The sequence below is a fragment of the Homo sapiens genome, chromosome 5 (genome assembly GCF_000001405.40).
Source record: "Homo sapiens chromosome 5, GRCh38.p14 Primary Assembly".
Taxonomy (NCBI): domain Eukaryota; kingdom Metazoa; phylum Chordata; class Mammalia; order Primates; family Hominidae; genus Homo; species Homo sapiens.
This window is the reverse complement of record NC_000005.10, coordinates 170,351,921-170,373,757: the sequence shown is the minus strand read 5'-3', so window position 1 is coordinate 170,373,757 and position 21,837 is coordinate 170,351,921. Positions and strand designations below refer to the sequence as shown.

Here is a 21,837-nt window from a genome sequence, read left to right as displayed (position 1 = left end):
GAGGTCATGTAACATGCATTGTTAAAACAGTCTGAATGCCGAGGTAGCAATGAGATTCTAGGTGCCTTTCTAAAGCTGGACATTAGAGATTTGTGAAAAATGTAAAACAATACCACTTCTCCCAATATACTTTTTGCCACGCATAATTGTTTTTCAAAAAAATATGTTATTTTTGTTAGCAACTAATGGATGTATTATTATTTTAAAATAAGTAAATTCAAATTAAATATTTTTACCATTCTTAGTTCTAATCTCTAAAATGGTAACTGTTAATAGATATAACCCATATACACCAAAGCTCTTAGGATCCTTAATATTTTTTAAGCATGTAAAAGGGTCCTGATGATGAAAAGCTTCAGAACTGCCAGCCTAGTGCATCCAGAGACAAGGCCTCCAGGCCCCTCCCACACCGTGCCCTGTAGAAATGTGAGGCTCTCCACCAGGCTCCATCAGATTCCCACTGGGGGCCAGGAGGAGGGCTTTAGTTTTCTCCATCACCTCTGGCTCCCAGATCCTGTCCCCCAGATGAGTCAGTTGATGGGTCATCCTCCTCTCCACAGTGCTTTCCTGGTTCTTTCTCATGTCACCTCTGATGCAGAACTCAGCTTCTTCCTAGCTTTGCACAACTCTCCCTCCCCACTTACATAAGTACATTTTCACCAGCCAACTTCCTCAAAGGATTTGGGAGATGAGAAAGGGAGGTATATGGAAGCAAAGCCAACAACTCTAAACTGAGTACTGGACCACGTTTGTGATTCCTTCCCAGGCCAGCTGCATCTCCCCCAGTTGCAGAGTCAAAAGTGGCTTAGATGGACTCTGTTCTCCCATAATCTCCATCATTCCATACCAACCTCCCCTATCCCCAGTACACATAAAACAAAAGCAGGGGCTTGAGAGGCACATGAAGCTTTGGGATGTGTCTTCTGTCCCCACGCCCCATGAGATTGCTGCACTGAGTCCTCCTCCTGTGTCAATTCTGGAGCCCCTTTTACTCAACTCCCCTTTGATTCCGCATGTTCAAATACAAACACTTGTTCTCCAAGTGCCAGTAAGACTTTAGAGATCATCTAGTGCTTCTCCACTTTATATTTGGTGCTTGAACTCTCTGTTGTCTCACAGAAAGATATTTGGTCTTTGGTACAGAGGTCCTTTAGGGGCGATAGGAGTGTCTTTTTTCCAGTGAGATAACTCTTGGTGGGCCTGTAAATAGCTTCGGCATGGGAGCTGCTTGCCAGAAGGACCAAGCCATGATTAGAGAGTTAGAACCTTCAGCTCTACCCGGCAACCTCTGCAGAGGGAAGAGGGGCTGGAGGTTGAGTTTAATCACCAATGGCCAGTGGTTTAACAATCATGCCTATGTAGTGAAATCTTCATAAAACCCCCTAAATAATAGGGTTTGGGGGGCTTCTGGGTTGGTGAACACGTCAAGGTGCTGGGAGAGGGCCCGGAAACTCTGCACCTCCACCCTGCATCCCTCATACCTTGCCCTGTGTGTCTCTTCCGTCTGCCTGTTTCTGAGTTATATCCTCTGTAATCAACATGTAATAGTAAGTGTCAATAGTAAGTAAAATGTTCTTTTGAGTTCTGTGGATCACTCTAGTAAATTATTATATCCTATCTGGAGGTGTAGGGGAGGTTGTAGGAATGTTCTGTCAGTCAGGTGGAAGTGTGGATAGTCAGGACACCCTATTGGTGGCTGGCATTTGAATGGGGGCAGTCTTGTGGGACTGAGTTCTTAACCTGTGGGGTCTGAGCTAACTCTGGGTAGTTAGTGTCAGAATTGAATTAAATTGTAGGACACCCAGTTGGTGTCCAAACTAGTTGGTATCAGTAGGGGGGAAGAAAACCCTCTTACGTGGTGTCAGAAGTATTGTCGGGGAGAACACAGTCACACTCTTTCTACAATAGTTCTCTTCAATGACAACCTGCAGCAACACCTCTTTGGATGAATAACTCACTATAGCAAGATGGAGCCACTTTCATTTGGGCATATATTTAGCTGATCACTTGCTGTGCAAGAATCTATCATTCCTAACGGTAATAAGGGCTAGCATTTGTTGAACACCTACCTGAATGCCAGGATCTTTCCAGGCACAGCTCATTGAACAGTAACAACATCCTTTGAGGTTATTATTAGTATCTCCATTTCACCAATGAGCCAATGGAGGCACAAGGAAAAGATTTAACTTGCCCCAAGGCAGAAGTTAGCAAATAGCAGAGCTGGAATTCAAATCTAGGTGGTATTGCTCCAGAAAACACTCTAACCACTGGGAATCCTGTTCTTGTCTTTACCCCATATCAAAAGTGGAAAATGCCAAGCAGGTCAAGGTCAACTATTGAGAGCTTGTTAGATGCTTCCAGATACCTTTCCATCACAGAGCCCAGGCTCTCAATTGACTCCCTGGGGCCACACCTCTGAAGTCTCAATAGATGTGGGGGTGATGGCCAAGCAGAAGGATCTGAAAATGTCCCACAAAGGTTCTGCTGTGGGCACTGCCAAGACAGACAGGACCACGAGGCCAGCTGGCACCTGCCTAAATCTATGCTTTCCAGCCCATAGCTCATCACACGCCCAACTGGAACCCAGGCACACCATGGTTGCAGCGATCCTTGAACTGGTCACTATGCAAAAGCAGAACAGAAGGGAGACTGGTACACCGGCACAGCTCCTTCTCAGCAAATGCACCCGCCTCTCATTCATCTCTACTTTCTTTCACAAGTGTTCCCAAACCATGGGTTTAATCATGCGCTCTAGAATTTGTCCAGGAGTTGACAGCATGCTTGCTTACATATTGCCTCAGAGTCCTCTTTTACTATCGTTAACTAAACTTAGGCCATGTCATACCTTCTTGGCACCTAACTAAATTTTCTGTGGCTCCACTGGTCATGATCCCTCATTCCCCTCTGTTGTTTCTTTCCAACCCTTCTGAATTGAAATCCCCTCAGCCACAAGCCAGAACCCCGCTGGTTTGAAGCAGTCTGAGCTGTGGGAGGAGATCCTGACCTCACAGGAGCCTCTCAGCCATGCTGGGCCATTGCGCCCAGGTCTCAGGTCTCCCTCCTTGAGGGACAGATGGGAGCAAAAACAACACCCAAAAGAGAAGTAGATATTGTTAGCTCTTCCATCAGATCATTCGCCCCAAGCAGCCTCAGCCACCATTTATTTTCACTCTCTCAGGACTTGTTTGAAAGGCCTTTTTCTCATGCTTACAATTTTGGTGGGTAAGATACAGCTGAGTATGGCATTATCCTTATGGCCCTAAATGATGTTTTTGTATTTGTCTTTGAGAGGGAGCCTGCAGGGAGAAAAGCTCAGGAAAACAAGAGTTTGAATCTGCCTTGTTCATGACTTTGGGCAGTTTATTTAATCTTCCTGAATCTCAGTTTCCTCAATTGGAAAGTGAGCCTCACAGTGTTTGTTTTACAGGGTGCATTGTATCATCAATCATGAATGTGAAGTACTCAGCACGGTGCATAAAAGATGCTTCACAAATGTCTGTTCTCTCTTCAAGTAAGTGTGTCTCCTTCAACCGATAATTCAGATTCTTTTCGATTTGGGCTCAGAGAACTACCTCCTGCCGTCTTTTTCTTACTAGCAACTTCCCGCCTCTCTTGCTTGTGGGCCTGATTGATGACTGCCTCACCTCCCTCTCTCTCTCCCCTCTTGCTTCATTTCTAGGGGTACCCTGACTTAACAATTTTGGCCACAAACAGACTGCCTATCTTTGCTTTGAACTTCCCTGACTCTACTTGTATAAACTTAATTCCTGGGGAAAAAGGGTCCTACCCACAGAGGCCGTATTTCTGCCTCACTGAACCATTCCAATGGTTGAAGGACCAGCTTCCTTGAGAGTCCACTTCATGGGAGAATCATGACCCGTGATAATAATAGGCCTGGCCAGAATAATCCTTCCAGTGCGAGGTAGGCCAACCTCCTGGCCCAGAAATCAGGCTTAATTGGAAATTAAATTGCTTTCCCATGCCAACTGCAAGACGCCTATATCTACAGCTAATTTATCAAGGTGATGCCTTATCTCAAGGAAGCCCATGGGAATAGAGTGGCTGCATCAGCAAAAGTGCAAACTTGGTCCTGATGAGAAGAGTTTTCTTTAAAGTACAGCTTGAACCCTTTGAGATTCTCATTTGGGGTTCAGTGCATTTAATGGCTTCTTCCCCCTTGCCAGGCTCTGTGCCAGGGCCTGGAGGTATGGATACCAGCGGGGCAGGCACCGCATTGGAGCAGCTTCCAGGGCTAGTGGCAGAAAAAGAACCGTGCAAGAAAAGTTTCCAAAGCTGTAGCACTTTACTTAGTTGTCCAGGGATGAGCAGCTTATGGAGGTAGAGAATATCATGAATAGAGTCACGGTTAATAAATTGATTTCTATATTTAGCACTGATACTAACAGTTCATGATCAAGGGTGTGTGGCACTCTTCGCCAAGCCCTTTACACACATACATTCCATTCTCTGGGCAACTGTAGGAAACAAATACACCAGGATTTTCATTATCCCCATTTTACTGATGAAGAATCTGAGTCTTAGAAAGTAAGTACCTTGCCTAATGTTACTACTTCCCAACTAATAGGCAGTGGGACTGGAACTTGAAATAAGGTAATTTCATGCAGAATTTATGCCCTTAAATACTATACTACACTGCTCCTTTATTTCCCCAGCTTTTTATTTTGAAAATATCCAACTACAATGCAAATTGTAAGCATGCCTCCCCTTCATCTAGGTTCACCAATGATGATCAGTATTTTATCATATTTGGATTTTCTCTCTGTCTCTGTCTCTCTCTGTGCACATGCGAATTTGTGTTTCTGAACCATTTGAGAGTTAGGCTGAGGAGCACAGAACAGAAGGCTGGTTTGGAAACATGTGGGGACCAGTTTGGCTGGAGGAGAATGCGTGTGTGGGTTTGGTCACGGGGACACAGGACTAGGGAGTGGGCTGAGGTCTGAGACTGTGGGGTTAGGGCTGGGAGTGCCAAATCTGGTAGTTCGGGGTGTATTGCCACATGGCATGAACAGCCAGTGATATGCCAGTGAAAGCAGAACTTTCATGCGTTCCCATACTGAGAACTGTATGATTGAAGATGTGTATTTAGTGAATGATATGTTTGTGGTTTCTGATTAAATATGGATGCTTATTGAAGACAATTCAGAAAATGCAGAGAAGCATCAAGAAGAACTTTAGGCCGGGCACGGTGGCTCACAACAGTAATGCCAGCACTTTGGGAGGCTGAGGCGGGCGGATCACAAGGTCAGGAGATGGAGACCATCCTGGAAAACATTGTGAAACCCTGTCTCTACTAAAAATACAAAAATTAGCTGGCTGTGGTGGCCGGCACCTGTAGTCCCAGCTTCTTGGGAGGCTGAGGCACAAGAATCACTTGAACCCAGGAAGCAGAGGTTGCAGTGAGCTGAGATTGCGCCACTGCACTCCAGCCTGGTGACAGAGTGAGACTCTGTCTCAATAAAACAAACAAACAAACAAACAAACAAACAAAAACTTTAAAAACTCACCTTTAATCCAAGCTAAAACCTAAACTAATGTTTCAGTGTATTTCTTCTCTATTTTACTTTTCCATACACATCTATTCCCACAGACTGGAACTGCATTCATCATACAGTTTTTTTTCTCCTGGCTTCCTACTTGATACGATATCAATAGCATTTCTCTAGGTTATTAATTAGTTCCTAAAATAATTTTTCAACAGTTTAATATTGTTCCATCAGACAGATGAACCAAAATTTATTTAATACACAATTTTTTCCATTGACACTTAGATTGCCTCCAGTTTTTCACTGTTATAAATAATGCAATAATACCATAATGAATACCTCTAAATAAAAGTCCGTATGCACAGCTGTGATGATTTGCTTAGAATAGATTTCTAGAAGTAGGGCTTCTGGGTCAATGGGTTAGATGGGCCATCTCTTTGGAATGGTGTGGAGGAGTCAGAAAGGGAAGAAATGGGAAGAAACGCAGTCTGCAGGCTGCTGCAGCAAAGCGGGTGAGAGGTTAGAAAGGTTCAGATTTCAGGAACGGTTCTGAGAGTGGAAAGGGAGTGACAGATGGAAAGAACAAGGCTCGAGACTGGGACATGTAAAGAGAAAGAGTAAAATCAGGAGAGAGAGGTCTCCTTTGGTTTTACAAGGATTGAGTAGGGGCTATAGAAAGACATTCAACTGGAAGGGTCTAGTGGTCCTTCCTCCCATCCTCCATCAATCCATCCATTTGTTAGGCCCCTACTCTATGCCAGGTCTTGTGCTGGGTGCTGCACATTCTTTCTTTCTTTCTTTCTTTCCTTTCTTTCCTTTCTTTCTTTCTTTCCTTTCTTTCTTTCTTTCTTTCTTTCTTTCTTTCTTTCTTTCTTTCTTTCTTTCTTTCTTTCTTTCTTTCTTTTTCTTTCCTTCTTTCCTTCTTTCTTCTTTTTTTTTGAGACGGAGTTTTGCTCTTGTTGCCCAGGCCGGAGTGCAGTGGTGTGATTGTGGCTCACTGCAACCTCCACATTCTGGTTCAAGCGATTCTCCTGCCTCAGCCTCCCAAGTAGCTGGGATTACAGGCATGTGCCACCATGCCCAGCTAATTTTGTATTTTTAGTAGAGACAGGGTTTCGCTGTGGTCAGAATGGTCTCGAGCTCCTGACCTCAAGGGATCCACCTGCCTCAGCCTCCCAAAGTGTTGGGATTACAGGCGTGAGCCACCGTGCCAGACTGCACGTTCTTAAATAACTAAAATGTAGCCCCTGCCCTTCCAACAAGTTCACAGTCCAGCCAAGGAGTCACCTGCAGGCCTGGAGCTTAAGAAAAGAGCCAAGGCAAGAGAGAGAGACTTGGGAGTCTCCCCCAGAGGTGAGGCCATGAAGGGGAGAGTGCAGAGATGAAGGGAGGAGGCGAGGGGTCTTGCTTGGGCTTAGTCTATGAGTCATCGGCTGTGTGGCAATGAAGAGCCATCTGCTGGGTGGCCACCACTTCCAGGAGGGGCCAGGCTACCCTCCATCCCTGTGCCCCCAGCTACCAGCCAGAGGAGGCTCCGTTTTGAGGGTAGCTTACTCAAGGGTGTTCCTTGCTCTGGCCTCAGTTTCCCCACCCTTACACTGAGGACATTTGGAGGAGTCTCACGCTGGTCACTGTGCCATGTGGCCTTGACTTCCAGTCACATACTGGCCACCTTCAGGCTCTCAGAAGCTCCCTTGGCCAGACTGAAATTTCCAGATATAATGAACATGGGGGAGCCTGTGCCTGATGTCTTTTTACCTCATGTGCCCTGTGAGACAGGCCAGCAGGCACAGCAGATGCTCAAAGGTAGTGCCAGAGCTTGCTTGTCCATGGGGCTTTGTGGTTCCAGCCAGCTTCTCCCTTCCAGGGTGGTGTCCTCAGGGGGCTCTGACCCAGGGTGCAGTGACTGCCACGACATCCAGGTCTGAGGCCTCCTCCACCTCCTCTGTTGAGCCCCCGGTGGACTCTATACAAAGACAAGGTTTTACTGCCCCTTCTTATTTTTTCATCCGTAGGAGAGTGTGGGCTGGGAGTGGGGCAGGAGTGTACAGGAGATTTTAAAGGTTCTGGACATGAAGAGCTTGCTCAATGAATACAGTGTGAGCTCTCCTGTCTCATCTCCCTAGAATAAAACTCTTTGTCACTGATACTCGCATCCCGGGTAGGGAAAGGAAAGGCAAAGAGTATGTTGAAAACATCTCTCACTCTTTTCTGGCCCACGTGGGTGATTTCAGTCACTCAGCCGTTTCCCAAGACATGGGAGGTCCCTGGTTTGCCTAGGATGCAATGAGGGAGATTTAAGCTCAGCCCTGATAAACAGCAAAGCCAAATAAAAGCAAAACCACCCATCATTTGTTGAATCCTTAATTTGACACAAGCCCTACACTAAACACTTTTAAGTGCGTTACTTTAATAAACCTGTGGTATTGGCATTATTGCACACATTTTACAGAAAAGGAGGCTAGGCTCGAAGGAGTGACTCCCTTGGACTTCCCAAGGTCACACAATTTGGTGGTAATGGATTCAGCATCCAGTGAACTCCAAAATCATGTTTCCAGAAAGTCCTGGATCCTCAAGGGCTGGAGGGGAACACAGCCATGGAAGCCAGCTGCGTCTGCAGCCCCCAGATGCCTTCGCTGGTGACTGCTCACTTCATGCCCTCCCAGAGGAGCCCCTTGGCTGAATGGAGCAGAGCACACTGGAAACCATCGCCATCCTTTCCCAGCGGCAGGTTCCCCTCTCTCCATGGCAAGAACAAATCAAAGATGAACCAAATGGCCCGCCAGCTCCAGAACTGAGGAGGGCTGTTCTTAGGATGGTAGCCTGAGAAGCCAGATGACTATCTTAATTAACCCCTCATGTCCTGGATGCAGGAACATGGGCGGCCTTGCTAAGGAGGAAGTGTGGATGGACAGACGGACGTGGAAATGGTGGATACAGAACTGGAACCTTTAAAGGGCATGCAGTGCCGAGCCTGTAGGGAATGGAAAGAGGAGGAAGCCCAGATTCAAGGCCAGCTCTGCGTCTGGCTTGCTGGGTGGCCTTCCCCAGGCCTCAGGTTCCTCATCTGCCAGCTCAACCTCTCAACTCCCAATGAGGGCCTACCATGTGGTAGGCCCTGCACCAGGTGCTGGGGAAGTAGTCAAGGCCAGGCAAAATTCCCTGCCCTCACAGAGCTCGACTCTTAGTGGATGAGCTGGATCATAAACAAATGAATAACGGAGATGTTGGCCAAAGCGTATAGAGTTTCAGCTATGGAGAATGAACAAGCTCTAGAGTAATGCACAGCAAGGAGACTGTAGTTCATAAGACTGCACTGTATACTTGAAATTTGCTAAGAGAGTAGTTCTCACCATACACAGAAAGGTAACTATGAAAAGAGACGGATATGTTCATTAGCTTGACTGTGATAATCAGGCCATTATCTATGTGTGTATCAAGACATCACACTGTATACCTTAAACATAGACATTTTCCATTAAAACATTTAAAATCACCAAGCAAACACATGTGTAATATTATTGCAGGAGCAGTAAGGGCTGTGCAGAAAAGCAAGGCAGCATTAGGCAATGTGTTGGGGGAGATGAGGAGGGACGGCAACCGCAGGAGGGGATTTGAATGAATTGAGGGAGAGAGCCTGGGGGTATTTGGTGGAAAGAGTCCAAGGAGAAGGACAGAAATGCAGAGGACGGATCATGCAAAGTCACAGGCCACTGAGAGGAGTCTGCATTTAATTCTAAATGTGTCAAGAAACCACTGGAGACAGTTTCCAGTAAGGGGATTATAATCGTATATGATTCATTTTTTATTTTAAAAATATGGGAATGGTCCATCAATGGATAAAAAGCAAAATGTAGTATCCAGACAATGGAATATTGTTCAAACTTAAAAAGGAAGGGAATTCTGACACAGGCTGTTACAGGAATGAACCTTAAAGACATAACACTAAGTGAGGGCCAGGTATGGCAGCCTGGAATCCCAGCACTTTGGGAGGCCAAGGTGGGCCAATCACTTGAGCCTAGGAGTTTGAGACCAGGTTGGGCAACATGGAGAAACCTCATCTCTATAAAAAATTTTAAAAAATTAGTTGGGTGTGGTGGTGGCGCACGCCTGTAGTCTCAGCTACTCTGGAGGCTGAGGTGGGAGGATTGCTTGAGCCCAGGAGGTAGAAGCTGCAGTGCGCTGTGATGACAGCACTGCACTCCAGCTTGGATGACAGAGTGAGACCCTATCTCAAAAAAAAAAAAAAAAAAGATATTACACTAAGTGAAATAAGCCAGACACAAATACTGTTCATGACTCACTTATATGAGGAACCTAGAACAGTCAAGTTAATAGAGACAGAAAGTACAGTGGTGGCTGCCAGAGCCTGAGGGTAGACAGAAATGGGGAAGGGTTTAGTGGGTGCAGTGCAGAGTTTCAGTTTTGCGAGAAGAAAAATGTTCTGGAGATGGTTGGTGGTGATGGTTGCACAACATGTGAATGTACTTAAAGCCACAACTGTGCACTTAAAAATGGTTAAAATAGTAAATTTAATGTTATATATGTTTGTCACAGTTAAAAATATAGGAAAGGATGCTATGCAAAGAATGGTCTATGGGGCTGTATTAGTCTGCTTGGGCTGCCATAATCGAATGTCGCAGACTGGGTAGTTAAATAACGAAAATCTATTGTCCCACAGTTCTGGACACTGAAAGTCCAAGATTAAGGTTCGGGCAGGGTTGGTGTCTGATGAAGTTTCTTTTCCTGGCTTGTAGTTGGCCATCTTGCCCTCACATGGCTTTTCCTCTGTGTGTGTGTACTCCTGGTCTCTTCCCCTTCTTACAAGGACACCAGTCATGTTGGATTAGGATCCCAACCTTATGACCTCATTTAACCTTAATCTCCTGCATCAAGGCCCTATCATCAAATACAGCCACCTTGGGGGTTAGGGCTTTGACATACACATTTAAGGGGACACAATTCAGTCTGTGACAGAAGTGACGGTGCTGACAGGTTTGACCAGGCGTGTTCAAAGGAACATTAGTGTTTGCACATGACCTTTTCAACCACAGTGCTGTATCTGTGATGTTGGCAAGTTATTCAGCCTCTCAAAGCCCCTGGTTTGGAATAAAAACAACTCACAGAGACAGGGCTGGACTGAATATAGGAATCCTTGTAAAGCCCCCAGAAAATAGGTAGCACTCAACAGAGGATGGCGATGGCCCTTCCCCTCATGTTTCCTGTTGCGTTTGAAATGACAGCCACTGTTTCTGAACTTGTGAGGCCTGGGCAGAGTTAATCAGCACAGGGATGTTGTGGATCATTCTGCAATCCAATATGCTTCATGGCTTAGAGACATCCCAGGCTCCGGGTGATAGCCGGCTCCAAGCTGAGTTTTGCAGACACCGAGCAGTAAGCCTGGGCTCGGCCCAGCCTGCCAAGCACAGATGGTTTGAAAAATGTCATCCAAACTGGCCCACAGTTAATCAAAAGATTACAGAAAGAAAATTAGGCTAACCCCAGCTTCTCAGATACAAGCCCCAGAATCACACCTCCCTACCTGATTCCTGCCCAATTCTCTGCCTCAGCTTCCAACTGACCTCATTCCAGCAATAAATGAAAATTGGCCAGACTAGAAATACAACAGGAAATCTTGCTGGGTGGTGTTTCCTTTTTTCTCCCCTCCCTGTAGTCTTGGCTGTCGGGCCTGCTCCCCATATGTTTTGTTGTTTGACTGTGAAAGGTGACCTATGGGTAACGGTTTAGGGGATGGATCGGGGAGCTTGAGTCTCAGAGGGCATTCTCCTCAATTGCACTTCCTCAGTCAGAATGGAGGTCCTGAAGTCTTGATTTCGAAAACAAGAGTGTGTGTTGCCTCTTGGCCAAACTGGGAAGGAATCTGTTTTGTCTTCGTTGCTTCTTACCCTGGATCTGATTTTCAGAAATGGAAAGAGTGTACTGGGGATGGGCTGGGGAGGGAAGTAAAACCCAGGGCTTGGGGCCAGACCGCCTAGGCTTCCAGTTGTGGCTATGCTTCATGCTGGCTGTGTGACTCCAAGCAGGCCGGTCCCCCGTCTGAAGCTCGCTCTTTATATCTGTAAGTGGGGTTAATTAGAGCACTCCACCTCCTAGGTTTCTCATGTGCACTAAATAAAATATTGGGCATGGAGTGCTCAGGCAATGCTGGGCACATGGCAGGTGCCACCAGCAGTGCTGCAATTTTGTTTAATCTTTAAATTCCAAAGCTGAAAGAGGCCTTTGAAATCAGCAGCTCCTTCATTTTAGAGATGAAGAGACTGAAGCCCAGAAAAAAAAGCCATTTACTTAGTGCAATGGGCTGAATATTTGTGCCTCCCGTCCCCCAAATTCACATGTTGAAATCCCACTCCTGAGGTGATGGTATTTGAAGGTGGGGCCTTTGGGAGGTGATGAGGTCATGAAGGCGGAGCCTCTTGAATGGGGTGTGTCTATAAGAAGAGGCCAGAGAGCTAGCTTACTCTCTTTCCTCCACGTCAGAATACAGCAGGAGATGCTGTCTGTAAGCCAGGAAGAGTCCCCACGAGAAGTCCACAGTGCTAGCATCCTGATCTCAGACTTCCAGCTTCCAGAACTGTGAGAAATACATTTCTGTTGTTGATAAGCCACCGTGTCTTTGTATGGTAGCTTAGGCCATCAGGTTGATAAGCAGCCTGATGGCCTAAGACAGCAAGCAGTTGTGAGGATTTGGACTCAAACCCAGGTCTGGCTCCAAAGCGGGTGTTCTTCTAAGAACACAAAATGGAATCTCAGTGGCTTCAGCCAGAGGGGACCAAGGTTAGCTTTGTGTTCATGGTCCTCCTCCCCTCATCCTAACAGAGAAGGAAGGCTTTCTTCTGCCCCTAGACTGAAGACCTGTGACAGAGAGCGTGGTCAGTGGTGATAGTAAATGACTTCCCATGAGTCTTTTTCAGGAGTCCTGGCCTTTCTTTCCTCCAGCTGGCCCGGGAGGCCTATGCAATTTCCTCATTTCCACATCCTCTCCCCCAAAGCTCCTCTCCCCTGCTGCCTGCCTTTCAGTGGGGTCCCTCCTCCTGCACTTCTGGGTGGGGTGCAGGTGGACAACGGGGAAGAACCGCCGCCTCACCTGAGCACCTGGCCAGCTGTGATGCATAGGCAGTGTGGGCCTGCACCCAGGGGCAGTCCCCCAGCAGAGCATGAGAGCGGAATGGGGGCAGGAACAGGCCTTTGGTCTTGTTTGCACTGACCCTTGTCTCATCCAGGTCGTTCTGGCTGGTCACTGCTGTCAAACTCCAGCACAGGAATTCAGACAAGGGAGATAGGGAGTGGTAGGCTCCAGAGCAAGCCTGACTAAGACCAGACCTCAAAAAGGGAACTCCAGCCACATGGCCTGATGTTGCTCGGCAGGGAAAGCATTTAGTCGTTATTTATTCAACCTTCCTTCCTCGGCTGCAGGTGCTTGAGGCACTCACTCTAGGTGATTCCCACGTGGTGAACGTGGTGAACGCTTTCACAGGGCTCCCATTCTCATGAGAATGGATGACCAATTCTCCCATGAACAACTAAATAAAAAGGATCATTTCCATTGTTGGCACATTTTTAATTATAGAACTTGTCATCAAGAGTGACTGGGGGCAGGGGGGATAATTTTGAAATAGCAGCACATCTGGATAGGAGCTGGGAAGAGGACTTGACCCACAGAGGCTCAGCCTTGTTTCTCTTGGCTACAAATCCAAGGTCGTATCATAGAAAAGAAGGGTGGGGAACTTGACTTTTACTGAGCAGCTTGTATGAGCCAGGTCCTGTGCCTGTCACATGTCCCATCTCATTCCATCTCCAGTAGCCACATGAGATGGAAATTACTGGCCCATTTACGGAAGGACACAGACTCAAGATGGGGAATGGCTTGCCCAAGGCTGTCCTGTTGGTGCATGGCAGGGTTGGAGCCCAGGTCCCTCTGGGTCCAGAGTTTTCCCGCCCTGCATCCTGCTTCCTTCCACAGTGACTTCACATCGCCACTTCCACCCTTGGGAAGCAAAGGCTTTCAGGGATTTGGGACCTGGGTCTGCTGAGAGAGATGGCCCAGGGGAGATTCTGTAACCCTAAGAAGACTGGGGAAGATGAGGGTCCCTGTGGCATGGCAAAGGAGGCCCTGGACTTAGAAGGCTGATGAAGACCTGACTAGATCCACTTCTCCCAGGGCTGTGGTGTGGCAGCCTGAACTCTCCTGCCTGCCAGAGGGCCCCGTTTCCAGCTACTTTTAATTTGGAGCAAACTAGCCGCTCCCCTGTGGTCCTGAAGTTAATAGGATGTCTGTGCAGCAGTGCCAGGATAAATGGCCCTGAACAAATTACTCCTGCATGGTAACAGGGTTATCTAGGAGAAAGACCCGGAGGCTCCAGAGGGGCAGGTGATCCCTCCTTCTTCTCTGCCTTCTACTGTGGGACTATGGAGACCCTAGTGAGCTGAGCACCTGAACAACCCAAATGGGTCAGGGAATGCTGGGCCTGCTGCAGAGGGGCAAGGGTGGTGAGGCCAGTAGGCTGGGATGAAGGCTACTGGACATCAGGAGGGCCAAGGTGAACACATGCCCCTCCTGGCAGGCTCTAGCTTGGGGCTGGAGAGGTAGGCAGGGACCCAGAAGCCCTGGATAATCAAACTTTCTTCCTGTGACAAAGCACTGGCACTCAGAGGTTCCAGGGTTGCAGAGAGTGAGTGGGGCTGTTGTAACATGACCAGAGTGCTTGCTCAGCCCCTCACTGCCAGGACAGTGAGCGAGCCAGGACTCGGATGGTGGGGACTCTCTTTCCCCAGCAAGGGGCAGCATTGAAGCTTAGCTTTTCATGGGACAGGTGGCATTCTCCTCTTGGTAGAGGGATGATGATATCTCACAGGTCTCAAAGTCCCCAGTGTGAAGGCTTCTGCTTTCCCAGACAATTCCAGTAAACAGCTGCAACACCTCAATTCCAGCCTGCCTAGTGTCCAAAACTTTGTGTGTATTTTCCCACACCCAAGAACACTTCTCACACTTGGCCTGTAAGAAGGGAGAGCCATGGGGGAGTGGCCCTCATGGGACAGAGCCTACTCAGTGTCTGGCAGGTGCTTTGGGCCTGCACACCTGCCTGAGAGGTGATAGGGATACTGAGAGAGCATGGGTATGGCTGTCCTGCTGATCTTGGCCTCTGGAGTGTTCCCTTTCCCCATAACCCAGGTGATGACACTTTATGGAATTTGTCACAACCCTTTGCATGACAGGTGGCTGCTCTGATCAGACCCAGCAGGGAAAAACCCACCAACAGAATTAGTGGGACGCTGGGGGACTCTCTGCTGGTGGCAAGGTGGGGAGTAGTGCAGGCAGGCGTGACTTCTCCAGCCCTAGGAGTGCAGAGGAATGTACCTTGTCTTGGCTGCAGCAAGACCTGGGTTCTAATCCCAGCTCTGCCACTCACCAGGGGAGCCACGACACTTAGCTAAACCCCAGTTTCCTTACCTGCTGAAATGGTGATTGCAATCCCTACCTCCAGGATCAAGACTAGAAAGAGGCAAGGAAGGTGCCTAGGGCACAAAATGTAAGCGGGGGCGGGTGCCCTGCAAGAGCAGAGTTGGGATTTGCCTGTGAGCTGATATCTCTTACTCATATCATCATTACATTAAAAAACAGCCTTGTGCCATTGATATTATTATTATCTCCAATTAAAAGTGGGGAGCCTTGGCTTGGGGTGGTGTTCAAATGACACAACTTCACACAGCTGGTAAGAGGCAGAGTTGGTACTCCAGCCTGGCCTGCTTGAAGGCAGAGTCCATGCCCGGGTCCAAGGTCAGTCTCTTGAGGATCTTGAACAGCAGTGGGAGGAGGCAAGAGGAACAGTGTGTCACTGATGGGGCAGCTGAGGTTTTGCCTCGAAAAAAGAGGAACAGCCTGGGCCTGGGCGGGAGGGGAGAGTTACGGCTCCAGGGCCTTGTCCTTGAGATAGATCTCATCTTCCCACACCCCTTTTCCCCACCCCCGCAGCCTCATGGGTGGCCTGGAGGACACTAGAAGCTCTCCTGGATTGGATTCCTCCCTTCTGCTCACTTTGGCTCTGTCATCTGTGCCTGGGGTAACATTTGTTCCCAGTGCAGAAGGAGATGAGTTTAAACCTCCCCAGCCAGAATGGAGCCTGCACAACTTCTGGTTCCTGCCAGCGGCCCCCAGGAAGTCTGTGAGGCGGGTGGAGGGGAGCTGACTGTGCAGAAAGAGGAAGACGCAGGTTCCCCAGACCCCTGATTTCACCAAGCATCCGAGCCAGGAGCTGGGCTTCTCCTAGGTTAAACAGCAGGCGAGGACCTGGCTCTGGGAGTCAGGCTTTTAACTCCTAATAAGGAATCAGGTGAGGGAGATGGCTCTGGGTAGGCCCTTAAGAAAACAAGTTGAGCAGAGGGGAAGCAGTGGTCTAAAGTCATCCAGTGGCTGGACGTGGTGGCTCATGCCTGTAATCCCAGCACTTTGGGAGCCCAAGGCAGGAGGGTCTCTTGAGCCAGGAGTTTGACATCAACCTGGGCAACATAGTGAGACCCTGTCTCTATAAACAGTCAAAATTAGCTGGTTGTGGTGGTGCACATGTGTGGTCTCAGCTATTTAGGAGGCTGAGGTGGGAGGATTGCTTGAGCCCAGAAAGTCGAGGCTGCAGTGAGCCGTGATTGCATCACTGCACTCAGCCTGGGGAACAGAATGAGACCCTGCCTCAAAATAAATAAATAAATAAAGTCATGCAGTAACTGACAAGGCCATAGGCTTTCATAAAGTGATCATGAGATGTTGCTCTTAGAATCTGTGCCTGGTGCTGAGAAAACAAGTAATGAGTGAGAGGGAGTCCCAGCCCGGAGGGGCTCTCAACCATGAGAGTATCCGCTAATAACAGAAGTCATATCCATCAACACTACTGAGCACCTAATAGGCAGGGAGCTTTATCTGCACAATCTCATTCAACCCCATAAGAAGGGTATTGTAATTCCATTTTATAGATGAGGAAACTAAATGCCAGGGAGGTGAGGGACCCAGTCCGAGGCTTCCGAGCCACAGTGCAGGGTCCGGGGATGTCTCAGTCTAGAAACCAACTGTGCTCCTCACTGCATTCGTGGTTTGAAATTTTTTTTTTTTTTAATGCCAAAGAGATTCTTTAAATGTGGGAGAAATCCAGTAAATAAAACAAATAAAAATAGAGCCAGAGGGGTGGGAGTGGGGATGCCAGAAGCCTGCCCACCCAGCCTTTCCTTCTGGGAACAATCTTAATGCCCTTCCCTAGACACTATGCAAGCTCAGACCCAGCCTGAATGTTTTACGTGGCTGGAGGCTCACGCAGGCTGGAGGCTGGAGGCTGCAGACTCAGCTTGCTGCAGCTAAACAGACTTCAGAGAGCATTTGCTGAGCACCTGTGGGACAGGTGTTGCATAGTGCTTCCTAGAAAGCTCCTGTACCAGGGGTCATCTCAGGCTGACGGCTGGTGTCTGTGCCGTGCGGTGCCGTTGCATTCGTTTAACACGGTAACACACATACTCCATTCTGGGCCCCATGCTAGTAGCTCTGGCCACAGTGGTGAGCAAAAAAATGCACATGGTCTTGCCATGATGGAGCTGAAGTCTAGTGGGGAAGAGAGCCTTTAGCAAACATGTTCCTAAAGGGAATGCAGACCACAAATTATGATCAGGGATAGGAAGGAAAGTTCAAGGTTGATGAGATATGTGAGCAGGTGGACATGAGCAGTTTATCTCTGCAATAAGCGCTGATGAGAAATCTGGGCTAGCTGGCATCTTAGACAAATGGCAAGAAGGATTTCTGGCATGGCAGGAGGTGGCCAAGGGTTAGGAACAGGCAGGACAGGGAGGGTGATCCTGGACCCTCCTTGTCCCCCAGGTATTTGCAAGGCTGGTAAGAAACAGTAAATTGCCATAGAACAAGCAGGTACCTGGTCCAACACATTCTTTACATTCCTCAGTTCTGCAAGGGACAAAGAAAAATCCCTCTCCTGAGGGTTGGATTACTGCAAATCTAGAACTCAGTGCAATGAATAATGAATAAGTGAAATCAAATTAAAATCAGAAATCATTAAGCAATCATAATGTATCCATGTAGGGTTGAATCTAAATCCACCTAGGGGAGGTGTAAACATTAGAAAGCCGTTTTCTGGACTCTCTGCAGGCCTTTCTCAGCTACCCTGCTCCCAGCCTGGCCCTGCTCCCATGTTCCTCACTATTTAACAAATATTTAGCAAACACCTGGATCGGGTAGAACACCAGTCACCTAGCACGTGCCTGGCGCAGAGCCGGGGCTGTGTAAACACTTGGTCCTCTCTGCGGAGCTGAAGCAAAGAAGACAGATGCGGTTAAGACACAATCCTGCCCTGGTGCCTGCCATGGGCTGCCTCTCTGAGCCCTGGCCACAGGAAAGGCTGTACTGAAGCAGTTCACAGGAAGGCCAGGTCCCCACGGAGTCCCTTCTGTGTCACATGGATCTTAGTTTCTGGGATTCTGAGCAGAGAGAGGGAGGCATTCTGACTCTCCAGCTGGTTCCTTGCAGAGGCCAACACTCTGATGTTGCTCCCTCTGGCAGCTTCGGCTTCCTCCCACCTTCTCAGCCCTGCCTCTCCTCATCTCAGCTTAGATGTCACTGTTTGGAGGCACTCCTTAGTCTGCCCCAGACATCTCTTCTCTATGCCTGTTGACCCCCATGATTCCCCCATCTCAGCACTCAGTGTGGCATCCAGGGAGCATCTGTGTGTGGGGTCTGGGTCGCCACTAGACTGCAGGTGGGGACAAGCCCTCCATGAGAGGCTGCAATGGGTTGCTGCCCCACACCCATTACCCTCTTAGGTCCTGCTATCTGTAATGAGGAAAGAAAACCTTCCAGCTGTCTCTGAGGATTGAATGGGGAGACTTTGTGAAATTTCCTAACCCCTTTGCTTTCTCCTTCTCCAGGAGGTAAAGCCACTGAGAGCAATCACAGCTATACCCATTAACCTCCTGTTTACCCCACTTCTGGCCTCCAGGAATTCTGCCAGGCAGCCTGGCCCTCCACATTGGGGGCTCAGCCCACCTGGGTATCTTGGAAGAGCAGTGCCCCACTTCAGAAGGATGGTAGGGAAATAACAGGAAGGTCAGAACATCCCAAGGAAGGAGATAAACAGAATCCCATCATTCCCACCACCCACACATGCCACACAACGTACACTGGGCCAGACCCGCTGGGTGGCGGGCACCTGAGCCATGTCATGAGATCTGGCTGCATATAGCCTTTCTCTGCTCTCATTGTCATTTTGTAAAATCCCATCAAAGTTTTGTGGGCTCCTTCCCTGAATATTCTGCCTGCTGCTTCCAGTGCCTCTCTCCCCAGCCCCCAAAGACTCTTCCTGAAAGACAGCATGAATATTTAAAGACGTTTTTTCAGCCAGTGGAACCACATCATGCTGCTGCTCTCCCTTGACATCATCTCCACAAAGTTGGCCAGACCCCTCTGAGGGCCTCACCTTCCCTGGTGCCAAGTGTAAAATGGGGTTTAAGACACAGGACTGGGCCCTGAGGAGTTAGCCTTCTTTCTGCCTCCCGGCTGTGGGCCCATCTGGGGCTGCAGCCCTAATTCTGGTCCATAGCCACACTTTCTGATCTGCCCAGACAGTTACTCCTGCAAACCACCTGCCACCCCAGTTCCTGGAGAAGCAGAAAAGACAGGCATGGACATAGGCATGAAATGTGGAGGGACAGGGATCCAAGAAAGCAGAACGATGAATGAAGCCCCAGAAGCACGAGACGCTGGAACCCTATGAGAGGAGGCTCTTGGCACTTGAGGTGCAGAGCTGATCCGGTTTCTGAAGCCACCAGGGCAAAGCAGATGCCGGCCCATCACCACCTCCCACTGGCCCCCTCAAGCGTCTCTGTTCTGCAGAATTACTCACAACCCACTGCATCAAATCTCTCTTTTATCAACAAAATACAACCTTCCATGGATAACTTCTTGAAACTCCAGTCACGCTAAGCCACTTCCAATGCTCTGGAAAGGGTTCTATCCCTCTGCCCGCCCATAACGTATCAGCCACACACCACCAACTCCATTTCCAAAGTTCCAGGCAATTACAGCCAGCTGAGTTCCCTGGCTGGGTGCCCGCCTACTCAAAGCCAGGACGCAGGTTGTCAGCAACCTCGAATCCCAGCCACCAATTTCCCCAGCTTTTTCCAAGACCTGGGTGCACCAGAATGGTCACGCTCACCACACCGAGGCAATGCGACCAGCCAGGCCATATCAAGACAGAAAGCAAGGGTCAAGGCCAGTTTCCATACCTTTGCTGAGGGTCCCAGTGATGAGCTTAAAGATGGTCTGGGCAAATTTCACGAACCCAAGCTTGCATCTTTTGGAGCAGCCGCTCATGGTGGCGGAGGGGAGCCAGGCTCTGCTGTCAGCACCCAGAAGGGACAGTGCCCACCTTGTGCACCCCAGGAACTTGGAGCCTGCCTGGGTGAATGAACCCTGAGTGACGGATGCACCCCTGAAGCCAGGCTCCGGGAACAGCACAGCTGCCTCTGCAGCGAGTCTGGCTTCTGCATCCAGAGAGCCTGCAGGGCAAACTCTCCCTCCCTCTCTCCACCCACTCCTGCTGTCCACTTAAGTCCTCACCACGGGAGGACCTCAGGATGCCAGGGCCGGGACAGCACTGCCGGGGCACAAGGTACTCCAAGGGAACCGAGGAGGAGAGTGAAGTTGAGCAGAGCAGGGAGGGAGGAGCTGGAGCTCTCCCAGGCTTTGCTGACTGTCTTTCTTACATGGCAGCGGTAATGTAGCAATTAATACTCAAGTCAGAAGGGAGGGGACTGCTACGCAGAAAACACTCAGCCCCACAGCCTCCCACACTCGCTCTCCCACTCTTTCCTTCCTGGTTAATCTGATAGATCAATTCTCTGTGCCTTGATCAGGATCTGGAAGAACTCCCCGCAGAGCAGGAAGCAGCTGTCGGCACTCAGCAGAAAGTTTGTAGGCAGCCTCAGAGTGGCCTGGTTTGCATCTCGGAGAAGCTGGGCTGAGTGCTGAGCCTCCGGGGAGCTGGCCTGTGAACATCGGACAGACAGACAGAGCCCTCGCAGCCTGTCCAGTAACCTTGGCACCAACAGCAGGTGCTGTCTGCCTTCCTGACTTGGAAAGGACAATGCCCCTGACCACCTCCTGCTCCAGGCATCCCCGACTCAGACTACTGAATTCCAGCCTCCACCCCTGCGGAGCAGGCACGAGTCTGTGCTCTCTCACCGGGATAGGAGAGGAGTGCAATTAGGGCTTTTCTTGATTGAGATAGTATTCCTCAGAAATGTCATAAAGGAATGACCGAGATTCATATAATTAGAATACAATGCAGTACTCTTAACAGTGAAACTGCAAGGCATTATGCAAATGTGAAGTCCAGCTATTGCTCCATAAAAAACCTGGCTGCCATTCAGTACCATAGGCTCCGTGAGTTGGAAGGGACCCTGGTGGCAGGGACATCTCATTCCACCCTCTTCACCAGGTGTGAACCTCCCCCAAAACAACCCTGCTTTGCTTTCCTCAGAAAGTCCTTGTGGGCCCTGGCCATGGGTACATCTGTGAATGCAGTGTGGCTACTTGTGAATAGCAGATATGAAACACCTTCATCTGAATAAGGCTATGCCTTGGAAAGTCTCTTCTTCTGCCTCGACTGTCTCCCTTTGATCTGCTTCTCTGGGATGTTCAAGAGGAATCCGTTGCTTAAGAGACAGAGAATGGAGACTGAGTTGACAAATGCCAGATAAGCCAGAACTCATGTATCAGGTCTGATTTTTACCCCGTGTTCTGGGAGTCAATGTGGAAGTGAATCTTGAAGAAAGAAACTTCAGCCTTCAGAGTGCTCATCAACAAATTTCAGCTCTGAAAAGAGGCCTGGGAGACAGTCTGCAAACTCAGAGCCTCCTCAAAACCCCGAAGCCCTCAAGCCTTGCCAGCATGGTAGGAGTCAGAGCATATATAACAGAAGTAGCTCTAGCAGGAAATACCCCATTGTGCTAGATGTCTTAGGGCTTAAAATTGCCGTGTTATGCACTCTCTGTCTTAAGAGTTGAAGGTCCCAGTTAAAAGGCACATGGTGGCCGGGCACGGTGGCTCACACCTGTAATCCCAGCACTTTGGGAGGCTGAGGTGGGTGGATCACAAGGTCAGGAGATCAAGACCATCCTGGCTAACATGGTGAAACCCCATCTCTACTAAAAATACAAAAAAATTAGCCGGGTGTGGTGGTGCACACCTGTAGTCCCAGATACTTGGGAGGCTGAGGCAGGAGAATGGTGTGAACCTGGGAGGCGGAGCTTGCAGTGAGCCAAGATT

At 48.9% G+C, this 21,837-nt stretch overlaps 1 protein-coding gene across 3 annotated transcripts in view, besides 1 other annotated feature; it reads right to left on the bottom strand.

The window, feature by feature from the left end:
• KCNIP1 (potassium voltage-gated channel interacting protein 1) overlaps positions 1-20,271 on the bottom strand; it is a 383,146-nt gene extending 362,875 nt beyond the window's left edge. For 2 of the 3 annotated variants that reach the window (NM_001034838.3, XM_017009408.2), the window contains exon 1: positions 19,794-20,271. In NM_001034838.3, the coding sequence (NP_001030010.1) occupies positions 19,794-19,881 (88 nt within the window). In that variant the 5' untranslated portion in view covers positions 19,882-20,271. The remainder of the gene's footprint in view (positions 1-19,793) is intronic. The other variant, XM_017009407.2, reaches the window with a different exon arrangement.
• Positions 12,155-12,655: an enhancer, noted in NCBI's record as "H3K4me1 hESC enhancer chr5:169788107-169788607 (GRCh37/hg19 assembly coordinates)". NCBI's record gives its function as "activates a minimal SCP1, AML or CMV promoter by ChIP-STARR-seq in naive H9 embryonic stem cells {active_cell/tissue: H9 hESC(naive)}" and the evidence as "EXISTENCE:reporter gene assay evidence [ECO:0000049][PMID:30033119]".